Source organism: Homo sapiens, chromosome 7 (assembly GCF_000001405.40).
Source record: "Homo sapiens chromosome 7, GRCh38.p14 Primary Assembly".
Taxonomy (NCBI): domain Eukaryota; kingdom Metazoa; phylum Chordata; class Mammalia; order Primates; family Hominidae; genus Homo; species Homo sapiens.
Window position 1 is genome coordinate 103,062,161 of NC_000007.14, and position 12,495 is coordinate 103,074,655.

The 12,495-nt window shown below is 42.9% G+C and overlaps 1 protein-coding gene across 15 annotated transcripts in view, besides 1 other annotated feature; it reads right to left on the minus strand.

Moving 5' to 3' along the window:
* The window catches only part of FBXL13 (F-box and leucine rich repeat protein 13), a 263,608-nt gene that overhangs the window by 250,972 nt on the left and 141 nt on the right, over nucleotides 1–12,495 (minus strand). For 2 of the 15 annotated variants that reach the window (XM_017011852.2, NM_145032.3), the window contains exon 1: nucleotides 12,086–12,408. The exons of the other annotated variants lie outside the window; for them this stretch is intronic. The gene's annotated coding sequence lies outside the window, so the exon portion shown is untranslated. Of the gene's footprint in view, nucleotides 1–12,085; nucleotides 12,409–12,495 lie in introns of those variants that run through there. 15 annotated transcript variants of the gene reach the window in all.
* Nucleotides 3,542–3,836: a silencer, noted in NCBI's record as "tiled region #7515; K562 Repressive non-DNase unmatched - State 12:CtcfO". NCBI's record gives its function as "represses a minimal TATA promoter and a strong SV40 promoter by Sharpr-MPRA in K562 cells {active_cell/tissue: K562}" and the evidence as "EXISTENCE:reporter gene assay evidence [ECO:0000049][PMID:27701403]".

Sequence of the window (12,495 nt, forward strand, 5' to 3'; positions counted from 1 at the left end):
ATTTGAAGAGTACTTTCTTCCTCTCAGATACAATCACTAGGTGTATCTGCTTAATGTTTTTGTAGACCATAATATCTAGCTCATCTTTGGTCCCTGTGGGGCAGTCCTTGTTTGTCTGTAAACAATGTACTGACTTCTACCTAGTAGAAAATTGAGGGAGAAACTAGGGTTTCTATGTTATTTCTGGATGACCCACTGTCTGAAGGTCTACCAATAAGGCTTTATTATATGAGTTCCTATCTTAATAATCTCTTTCAAAACACAAATGCCTTTGGGAAGGAGTATATCCAAAAATAGAGGGCACATTAAGCTAATTCCCACAGTGGTGGAAAGAGTATCTCAGAGTTCTGAGAGACAGAAATGAAGAATACAAGGAGAGTGAGGGATCGCAAGGCAATACTTAGTTTTCCTACAATTTCTACCTATCTTCAGGTGACTTAAAAAAAAAAAAACCTCTGAATTTCTAAAATATATTTTTCCTGAATCTTAATGATGAAATGTAAATATCTTCATCTCTATTTCTCCAAGATAGATTTCTATGAAAATATAGAATCAAAAGGTATATATTACAGATCTTCATACATATCTCAAAACTGTTTTCCCAAAAGGTATTATCAATGTATAATCTCATCCCAAATGGATAAATGCTCAGAGAGCTCAGGAGACAAGCTCAGGCTAGGGACAGCCTCAGAGTTACAGCTCCAAGTGGTTGAAGCCATTGAGGTGTTTTCAACTAGCACGTGGTAGAGACCCAGCAAATATTTGCTGATAGAATGTCCTAGTGTATCCCCCTCAGCTGACCACTCTTGCTGTTCCCCAGGAGAAAAGACTGGCTGGTGTCAAGAGCCTCATCTGTTCAAAAAATTAAGTTACTTGTTTAACTTGAATTGAACATAGAATCCAGTAGTCTTTAAGTTGGACATGTGAATCTCCAAGAGCCCACAAAGACTTTTGAAGGATTACATGGGCAAGAATAGTATAACGGAGTCCACTTTCAGATCTTCACCTTTCCTATGCAGGTTGGCCTTCTATATCCATGGGTCCTGCATCCATAGATTCAATCAACCACAGATCAAAAATATTTGAAAAAAAGTTTTATCTGCACTAAACACATACAGAATGTTTCCTCTTGTCATTATTCCCTAAATGAAACAGTATACCATCTACTTACATAGCATTTACATTGTATTAGATATAAGTAATCTAAAGATGATTTAAAGTATAGAAGAGGATGTGTATAGGTTATATACAAATGCTATGCCACTTTTTATCAGCCAACATCAGTCTCCAAGGAAGGTCTTGGAACCAATCCCCCATGGATACTGAGGGATTACTGTATTCTTTACTTAAACTGATCTGCCTGAGGACACAGTTTGCTATTTTCTTTTTCTACTTTTCTCTTTCACAATGGCTCTTCCTCCCACTCTAGAAAATAAAGCCCTCTATCACATCCATCTGGAATCTTACTATAAAGAAAACTGAAGCAGAGAGATTTGGAAATTTTCTCAGTCACCCAGTTAACAATTGGTGAAGCCTAGAATCAAACTTAGGCTTTTTTTTTTTTTTTTTTTTTCTGTAGAGACAGTCTCTCACTATGTTGCCCAGGCTAGTTTCAAACTCCTGGCCTCAAGGAATCCTCCTGCCTCACACTGCCAAAGTGCTGGAATTACAGTCATGAGCCATCATGTGGGGCCTAGGAAGGTCTTACAAATAAGAAATAATCCCCTCATCTTGCTTCAGATGCTTTAGGTTTCAAGTAACAAACTCAACTTAATACGTACTCTATTAGCTCCTACAAGAAATTCAAAGGTAGATGAAGCTTCAGTGTGGGTTTAACCCAGTGGCTTACTGATGTCACTAGGGCCTGGTTTCTTTCCATTTCCCCAACTGGCCTTTTGTGGAATCCACTTCATGCTAAAATTCTCTCTCCTTGTGGCCACACAGGTAATTGCCAATGTTCCCAGGACTAAGTGCTTCCCCATCAACATCCAGAGAGGGTATATCCAACCAGCATCCTGATCTAAATCAGCTTGGATTACATATTGCCCTCCCCCATGACCCTATACCTTCTGCCTCCCTGTCGTTACAAACATTATGGCCAGGGAAACTGAATGCACCGGTTGTTGCAAGCCAGTTGGGGTCCAACCCCAGAGATGGGGATAGACAGTTTTCTTGAAGCAAATGGGCTAGGTGAGGGAAGAGACAGCGTATAGAATAAGAATGTAGGAAATATTAGGAAGAGGGAAGTAGATGCTACGTAGGCAACTTGTAAATGCCCAGTAGACATCTGCTCCTGGAGAACATGGGAAAGGAAGAAGAAAAGGGGGTAATTACAGTAATTGAGATCCACTTACTGAGTGATGCTGTTGTGATCTATATCTTTTTAGAGACTGCTTTGAGATCCAACTTGATCTGACTCCCCTTATATGAACAAGCCAAGTATGGCAGATTATATTTTCCACAATGGCCATAACAGTATCTCCCATCCTCCATGTTCTTTTTGCAATGTGCCTTTGTTATACCTCCCATCATGAAATGGGTTCCATGTTCCCTCCCCTTGAATCTAAGTGAAAATAATGTTGACTTCCAAATCTAGATCATAAATAATGGTATAACTTCTACCTGGTTCTCTCTGGGGAGGTTTGGTCTTAGAAATCAGCTACCATACTGTGAGGAAGTCTAAGCAGCCCATGGGCAGGTCCAGATGAAGAGGAACCAAGCCTACTGGTTCACAGACCTGGCTGAACTCCCAGCCAACAGCCAGCACCAACTTGCTAGGCATGCAAAAGAAGATATCATCTTAAAAGTGGATCTTCCACCCCCTGCAAAACCTTGCCAAAATTTCAAATTTTTAAGCAAACTAAGTGATTCCTGTTGTTGTAAGCCACCAAGTGCTTTAACTGGTTGCATGTCACATGGCAATAGATAATTGACACACCAAACAAACAGAAAATGACTACACAGCCAAATCAAATCTGTCATTCCATCCATCCCTAGCAACATACATTCTGAAAAAAAAAGCCTAGCCATAACTATCTTTCATTTTAGATTTTTAAATTTCAAACATTTAGAAACAGTAGTATAGGGAACACTTATGTACCTATCACCCAGTTTCAACAATAATTATTCTGTGATTTTTGTATCATCTATATATCTACCCATTTCTACCTATTCTCAATTATAATTTAAGGTAAAATTTATATTATTTCAAATGCATAAATCTTATTAGTATAATTTTGATAATGAAAATACCCACACCCCGGGTGTGGTTTCTTTCCAACTCTCCGGAAAGTTCTCATGTCCCTCTCCAGTTAATCCTCCTGTATCACTCAGAGTCCAGTCAAGAGACAGAAATCACACCCGTGTTTTGAATAAAGAACAATTTATTCTATCTCATAAAGAGATTCTAATAAAGAATGCAATTCAAAGAATTACTAACTAGTAAAAAGAGAGTAACTACTAAGAGCAAAAGAGAACACTAAAGGACACCCTGTGGCTCAGACAGAGTACCCAAAGATGAAATAACCTTGGAAGGAGGGCAGCCACCTCCCCAAGGCTGAGATTCAGAGAATGTGGAGTGTGGCTGAGGTATAGTGGGGAAGTCCATTAGGTTGCCCTGAGACAGAGATAGTTCTCAGCCATGATGGTCCAAGGCTTGGTGAACAGGACCCCACCAGCTCACACTAGTGAGCAGACGCCCCCTGCTGGGGTGCCAATGGGCTGAGGCTGGTGAGCAAAACTTGCTGAAGAGTGGGCACCACTGGGTGCACCACACACATGCTCCTGGAAGCTGTGTCATGTGAACAAGAAGTGAGGAAGCACACAGGAACCAGGAACTGAAGTCCCTCTCCCTCCAGGGTCCCTCCAGCACTGACAAGGCTTAACAACATGCTAGCCCAAAGCAATGCCAAGGTCTAGATCATGACACCAGTCCAGCTTCTAGGTGTCAAGGGCTACTTTTCTCCTCCTCAATATTTCTGCAGTATTATAATCAGCTGTCTAGTTTTATGGGGAAAAAAATTTTAGACTTTAACTAAAATTGCATTGAATTTATACATTTTCTGGGAAGACATTACATGTTGTTATTTTCCCATTCATAAACACAGCAGAGTACTTCATTTCTTTAGGTCACCTTAAACATCTTTCAATAAAATTTTACAAATTCCTCCAAACAGGTCTTTCACATCTTGTCCTAAGAAACCTTATATTTTTTGTGGCTATTATGAATGTAATTTCTTTTTTTTTTTTTGAGACAGAGTCTTACTCTGTTGCCCAGGCTGGAATGTAGCGGTGCGATCTCGGCTCACTGCAAGCTCTGCCTCCCGGGTTCACACCATTCTCCTGCCTCAGCCTCCTGAGCAGCTGGGACTACAGGCGCCCGCCATCACGCCCAGCTAATTTTTTTTGTATTTTTAGTAGAGACGAGGTTTTACCTTGTTAGCCAGGATGGTGTCAAGCTCCTGACCTCATGATCCACCCGCCTCAGCCTCCCAAAGCGCTGGGATTACAGGCGTGAGCCACTGCGCCCAGCCTATGAATGTAATTTTTAAAAGCTACTGTTTAAAACTTTGGTTCTAGTGAATTGAAATGCAATTGATTTTTTAATATTCAGTGGAAGAATTTTGTGAGGATTTTTTTTTTTTTTTTTGAGATGGAGTTTCGCTCTCATTGCCCAGGCTGGAGTGCAATGGCGTGATCGCAGCTCACCGCAACCTTCGCCTCCTGGGTTCAAGAGACTCCCCTGCCTCAGCCACTCGAGTAGCTGGGATTAAAGGCATGCGCCACCACGCCCAGCTAATTTTGTATTTTTAGTGATCTTTCTCCATGTTGGTCAGGCTGGTCTTGAACTCCAAACCTCAGGTGATCTGCCCGCCTCGGCCTCCCAAGAATTTTTTTTTTTTTGTCTACTCTTTCACTGTGGGTGTAATGGAATTGTCAGAAACTGAAAATACTAGGAAATGTAGGACTATGGATATTGAGAGCCCATTTGACAACTGAGGATTGAATTTAAAGTGACACAATTCAGTTTAATTGTGTGTTCTTCCTTTAAATAATGTTCAGTTGCTCAGGGGTAAGCACGGACTGCTGGATATTTGAGTTTTACCAGGGATGGGTGTTTGTCACATCAATAGGACAGAGGGAGAAACAGGTAAAGGAGATAATCGTATTTGAAAGTGATCATAATGATGGTGTGGTGGCATTTTAAAAGCATGTCTGCAAATGATATTTCTTACATAAAGAGGTGGGGTTTAATTCCTCTCCTCTTGAATATGGATTAGTCTTAATAATCCACTTGTAATGAAGAGAATACAGTGAAAGTGATGTTGAGTAACTTCTGGGGCTAGGTTATAAAAGGAGATTTTACTTGGCTCTGTCTCTTGGACACCTGTTTTGGGACCCAGCCTCCACGCTGTGAGGAAGCTCAAGCTACATGGAGATGTTACACATAGATGTTCTACCTGTCAGTCTCAGGAGAGGTCCTCATCGACAGCCAGCATCAACTGCCAGGCATGTAGGTAAGGAAGCCTTCAAGATGATTTTAACCTCAGCCACTCTGACATGTAAGTGCATGAGGGATCTCAAGCAATAATATTCTGTCAACTCCCATAACTGTGAGAGGCAATAATAAAATGAATACTGTTATTTTAAATCACTAAATGTTGTAAAGACATTTAGGTAATAGACATCCACAATAATGATGAACCAAGGAATCTAAGATGGGTAAAGAGAGAAATAAGGACATAAGAGTAATATTTGACAGTGCAAAGATAATTGAATGAAATGGTGGTTTGAGTCAGTTGAAGAAGTGCTAGTGTAGAAGCTCCAATGTGAGTGAGCTAAGAAATTAAGAGATAAGTGGATGAAGAAATGGAGATTTCAGAGATGGTACAGCAATTTAGGATAAAATGGTTAAGAGTATGACCATAGAAGGACATGACTGAGGAACGGTGAAAGCAAAGATAACTGGAAGAAAGGTCAAGGATGTGAACGGAACATCCCTGTGAATACTGCGGGCACAAGAACAATGACAGGAGTAGAGAAAAAGGAAGATGGTGAGCCAGATGCTAATGCTACCAACAAAACATAGAGATTGGTACATAATGAAGACAGTGAGTGCTAAATCTGATGTTATGAACTACAAAGAAGCTGAGACTTTAGAAAAAGGAGGGAAGATACATAGTTTGGAAGTGGAAATGGGGAGCCAAGGAAGACACCTAACCTATCTCTAGATCTGAGGTAAACTGAGGAGTGAAACAAGACAGTCTCCCTAGGATTTCATATCTGAGTAGGATGTGGAAAGTCACCATGGTCCAATGACCCTGCTACAACAACTAGAAAAAAACAGACACATTACAAAAATCACATTTAAAAAAGATATTGGCGAGCCATGGAATTCCAGGGGAAGGAAATTTTTCTGAAGTGAGCTGACAATGCACAGCTGCTTTTTTTCCCTGGGAACGTGTGCCAGCTCTGGGTAGGAAAGAGGACAGGGCTGGGCCCAGGCAGAGAAAGTCTACAAATGGGAAGAGAAACCAATAGGCTTATGGTGGTGGCACGGGGGTAACATGACAGGTTAGAAACTTGAGGTGCCCCAAGTGTGGCCACTGTCTCCCATAAGGCAGTGAGTTCTGGGAGTGTTCACACAGGAGGCTGAGGAGCTAGAACATCAACTCCTACAAGGCAGAGTGAGTCTTTCATAATCTCAGGGAAGGAAGAGGAAGCCTGCCTCAAACATACAGCCAGCATAACCTTCAATGTACTTGCCAGATTTTAAAGTTGAGGGCCCACGGCCACCACGCCATCTGGGAAGTAAGGAGCACCTCTGCCCAGCCGCCCCACCATCTGGGAAGTGAGGAGCGCCTCTGCCCGGCCGCCCCACCGTCTGGGAAGTGAGGAGCACCTCTGCCCGGCCGCCCCACCACCTGGGAAGTGAGGAGCACCTCTGCCTGGCTGTCGCCCCCTCTGGGAAGTGAGGAGGCCCTCTGCCCTGCCGCCCCACTGTCTGGGAAGTAAGGCGCACCTCTCCCTGGCTGCCCCACAGTCTGGGAAGAGAGGAGCGCCTCTGCCCAGCCGCTGCACCTTCTGGGAAGTGAGGAGCGCCTCTACCTGGTTGCCGCCCCATCTGGAAAGTGAGGAGCGCCTTTGCCCGGCCGTTGTGCAACCCTCGAAGTGTGAAGTGGCAGCCTTGTGTGTGATTTTTATGCCCTCCCCAAGTTTGCATTTTTGATATTAAAGTTTACTTTTAAAAGTTTTAAATTGGGGAATATATATACATATATAAAAGTTGAGGGCCTAGAAGGGAAACTAAAGAGCTAAGCTTAAATACCTCCGAAGAGCAGAACCAAATCTCTCACAATCTTTCAGTCTGAGGAGACAGAGACTGGCTAGCTTCTCAATCAAAAGCCCAGAAGAGCTATGCCTGAGGAATAGGGATGAACCAGATGTAAACCGAACCCAAATAAATCCACAGTCCAAGCTCAACACAGATCAGTCCCTTCCTGGACTGAGGTCATGAGCTCTGTACCCTATACAGAGGAAAGGACGAACCTTTGCTGGCGAAAGAGTATATCATCTGGAACTTCTATTGTTCTTTTCTCACACAATGTCCAATAAAAATAAGAAATTACTAGGTATGGGCTGGGCGCGGTGGCCCACGCCTGTAATCCCAGCACTTTGGGAGGCCGAGGCAGGTGGATCATGAGGTCAGGAGATCGAGACCATCCTGGCTAACACGGTGAAACCCCGTCTCTACTAAAAATACAAAAAAATTAGCCGGGCATGGTGGCAGGCGCCTGTAGTCCCAGCTACTCGGGAGGCTGAGGCAGGAGAATGGCGTGAAGCCAGGAGGCGGAGCTTGCAGTGAGCCGAGATCCCGCCACTGCACTCCAGCCTGGGCGACAGTGCAAGACTCTGTCTCAAAAAAAAAAAAAAAAAAGAAATTACTAGGTATGTATGAAGGCAGGAAAATGTCTTGAATTATCAACAGAAGAAAATAAGCAATAGAAGCAGACCCACAAATGATCTGGATATTCAAGTTAACAAACAATGATTTAATTTTATGTATTTATTTTATTTATTTATTTTTTTAGAGACACAGTCTCACTCCATCACCCAGGCTGGAGTGTAATGGTGTGATCTCAGCTCACTGCAACCTCTGCCTCCTGGGTTCAAGCGATTCTCATGCCTCAGCCTCCCAAATAGCTGGAATTACAGGCGTGCACCACACCTGGCAAATTTTTGTATTTTTAGTAGAGACAGGGTTTCAGCTGGTCTCGAACTCCTGGCCTCAAGTGATCCACCCACCTCGGCCTCCCAAAGTGCTAGAATTACAGGCATAAGCAACAAACAATAATTTTAAAATAACAACCATCAACATGTGTGTTGATCCATTTTGCACGGCTATAAAGAAATACCTGAGGCCAGGTAATTTATAAAGAAAAGAGTTGTATGCGGCTCAGGGTTCTGCAGGGTGTACAAGAAGCATGGTGCCAGCATCTGCTCGGCTTCTGGCGAAGGCCTCAGGAAGCTTTTACTCACTGCAGAAGGCAAAGGGAGCCAGCATGTAACATGGGAAGAGAAGGAGTAAGAGAAACAGCTAGAGGGAGGCTCTTCTAAACAACCAGCTCTTGGGTGAACTAATAGAGGGAGAACTCACTAATTATCACAGGGGAGGGCACAAAGCCATTCTTGAGGGATCTGCCCACATGACTCAAATACCTCCCACTGGGCCCCACCTCCAACACTGGGGATCAAATTTTAACAGATTTGGAGAGAACAAATAAAGAAAACAGAAAAAGGCAAACTGAATGAAAAGATGCATAATTCTAATAATCAGAATTTATTTAAACATCAAATTGTCATTCTAGAACTGAAAAACATGTCTAAAATTAAGATTTCATTTGATGTATTTAAGAGTAGACTGGACACAGCATAAAACAAAATTAGTAAACTTGAAAACCATCAATGAAAAAGATCCAAACTTGAGCTCAAAAAGAAGAAAATGGGGAAAAAGCAGAAGAGATCAAAAGAGGCATGTAGAACAAGGTAAAGAAAAAGAAAAAAAAAGCTAACATATGTACGATTGGAGTTCCAAAAGGAAAAGAGAGAACTGAATAGAAGTACTATTTGAAAAGAACCAAGAATTTTCTAAAACGGATGAAAAATATCTATCAACAGATTCAGTAAGCCCAGGGGACCAAGCAGGATTGTTTAAAATGTTTTTTAATTTTTTATTTTTTTAGAGATAGGGTCTTGCTCCATCACCCAGGCTGGAGTTCAGTGGTGCAATCATAGTTCACTGCAGCCTCAAATTCCTGGGCTCAAGTGATCCTCTCCTCTCAGCCTCATGAGTAGCAGGGACTACAGGTGTGAGCCACTAAGACAAGTTAGCTTTTTTTTTTTTTTTTTTTTAATTTTTGTACACACAGGGTCTCACTATGTTACCGAGGCTGGTCTTGAACTCCTGGCAAGCAATCCACCTGCCTTGGGCTCTCACAGTGCTGGGATTACAGGCATGAACCACCAAGCCAGGCCTGATTTTTAAAAAAATCAGTCTCTATTCAAGAGATTTGCAGGAAAATGATATTGTAGGTAGAAAATCAGGTTTTATTTAGGACAGGTAGATGAAATTCAGAAGAGGTTAAATATACAGGGAAAACTTTAATGAAAGGTTATTTATGTATTCCAAGGCTTGCAGAAGATGGGTTTTAGAAAAGTATAAAACCTGCCAGACATGGTGGGTCATGCTGTGGTGGGTCATGCCTGTAATCTCAGCACTTTGGGAGGCTGAGGCGGGTGGATCACCTGAGGTTAGGAGTTCGAGACCGGCCTGACCAACATGGTGAAACCCTGTCTCGACTAAAAATACAAAAATTAGCTGAGCATGGTGGCAGGTGCCTGTAGTCCCAGCTATTTGGGAGGCTGAGGCAGGAGAATCGCTTGAACCCAGGAGGCGGATGTTGCAGTGAGCTGAGATGGCACCACTGCACTCTAGACTGGGCGACAGAGCTAGACTCTGTCTCAAAAAAAAAAAAAGTATAAAACCCATCTGGGAAATTGAGTCAGATAAATAAATGTACAGACAGGATATGAGGCAGAATGGAATTCATCTTGATATTCTCTTAGAAGAAATGGGTAATGAGTTTAAGGTGGGTGTGTGGGGCCCAGAGGATTGCTCCTTTGCACTTCCTGCTAGTGTGCTAGCAGAGGTGAGTGAAGGACTCCTCAGGAGAACATGATCTTAGACAATGGAGAATGCATATAAGGGCCTCCTCTATGGGTGCAGAACAATGCAGTAAGCTGGTAAGGAAGGAATGCTTTCACCCAGAGGGGGAACTGGGGACTGCCTCATTGCAGCTTTGTGATGTTATAGTAACTGGCGGCCTAGATGAGAAGAGGCCATCCCTTCCTTGATGTACCCTGACTCTCAACTCAAGTCCATTTCTGCCACCTGCTCCACCGCCATATCACAGACTGAGCCATCACTCAGAATGGCTGCACCCTGAATTGTAAATATAAACGTTCCACTTTCTGACCCCCACCTCCTGTGTTTCCAGCTCCCTCACTTAATTACTCCCTCTACTTCTCTTCACTCACCTCTTAGAGGAGTCTTCACTTTCTGTCCATGTATCAGTATGATATCCTTTTCTCATTTCCCACTGAGTCCTTAGAGTCCTTGGCCCATCACTTCAGATACTCAGGAGCTTAGCTCCCTAACCTACTGCCTTTCCATTCTATTAATATATGCCTGGCAAATTCCTATCCCAGACGAAGTCAACTTGGTTATCTCTGTACCTACATCTGATTTACTGACTGCTACTTGAGAAAATCACACAACCGGGAAGATGGGTACCATTCTCCCTACATATTTTCAAGCACAATTGTATAGAGGTACAACACAAAACTCACTGTAATAAATTAAAACAATACAGCTATGGACAGAGTAAAAAGTTAGAATTCTCCATCTTTTCCCCCAAAACCATTCCACAAGACATCTGTTATTAACAGTTTGGCATAGGTTCTATGCATGCACTATTGTCTTAAAGCTAGATATATACACATATATGTACATAAACACATATACAACATATATGAAATCAAATGGACAGCTAGAGCAGAATGGACAGTTGCTAAGCAACTTGCACTTTTTCTTTTTTACTTAATAATATGTGTTGGGAGCCAGCCATGTGGTGTATGCCTGTAGTCCTAGCTACTTGGGAGGATGAGGTGGGAGGATCAATTGAGCCCAGGAGTTTGAGGCTGCAGTGAGCTAGGATGGAGCCACTACACCCTAGCCTGGGTGGCAGACCAACACCCCGTGTCTCAATAATAATGATGATAATAATAATATGTCTTGGAGGACATTTCTTCTTAGTAGGTACAGATATACTTTATTCTACATAATGCCTCATTCGCTTAGTCACTCTAGGTCATTTACTATTTTTACTATGAAACAAAGTTATAATGAATATCCTTGTACATCCTCCTGAACACATGTGCAAGTATTTCTCTAAAGTAGATCCCTAGAAGTAGAAATGCTTGGTTAAAGGGTACATGTATTTAACATCTTAATAAATATTTCTCAATTACCATCCAAAAAAGAGACGGGTGGGGGGTCTCTACCAAATTGCCCTCCCAACCGCCTAGGAGCGTTACTACCCTCAGGTAGGACCTCCTCTTTCTTTCCCTAGACATCTCTCTCCCTCATTCTCCACATAACGTATCTTTGCTCGAACCTCCTACTGCACCAACATCCCCATCCCCACTCAAACACGCACATTCTTGGTAAATATCTCACCAACTATTTGTAGAGAAAAAAAGAGGTCAACAAAGGCAAATGTTCTCAGCTTCCTACCCCCAAACCTACAAAACCTAATGTCTATCCCCTTCCTGTCTTCCTTCCCTACTCTTATAACGGCAGTAGGAGGGCAGTCCTTCCTGTTGTCTAAAGGCAATCCTGGTTGAGAGGGTCCTTACCTTCACAAAGGGCTGACTACACTGACCAAAGGTCTCAGCTTCCACTCTTCCCTCCGCTAACCTCCATCTATTTTCTGCCCTCACGGCTCCATGGAAACCTCAGGCTCACCTTGGGCAGAATCCAGCTCCTTATCTTAGGTGACTAGTGCCTACTCCCTACTTCTGACAACATTCTTCATAATGCCAGTCTGCTGATTTTCCTCCTCAGGCTCTCTGGCACTTCTTTCTCACTCCTCCACTCCTCAGGTACTTCTTGTCCAAACCTTAAAATCTGAGTTTGGGGTTTCCGATCTGGGCCTTGTGCTCATTCCCCCTGGGAGATGTCACCCATTCCCCACGTGCAGCCACCATCACCCTCTGTTTTCTCTCTAATCAGCGTCTTCAGCCCTGATCGCCTACAAGTCCGAATTTGACTTCACTTTCTCGCATTCTGCCCCGCCTTCCCTCCACTCCTCCCCAATCCCGAAACCTAGTCCCTCCTCCGGGAAGTCTTTCCTGACTCCTCCCCCTTCTAACTCC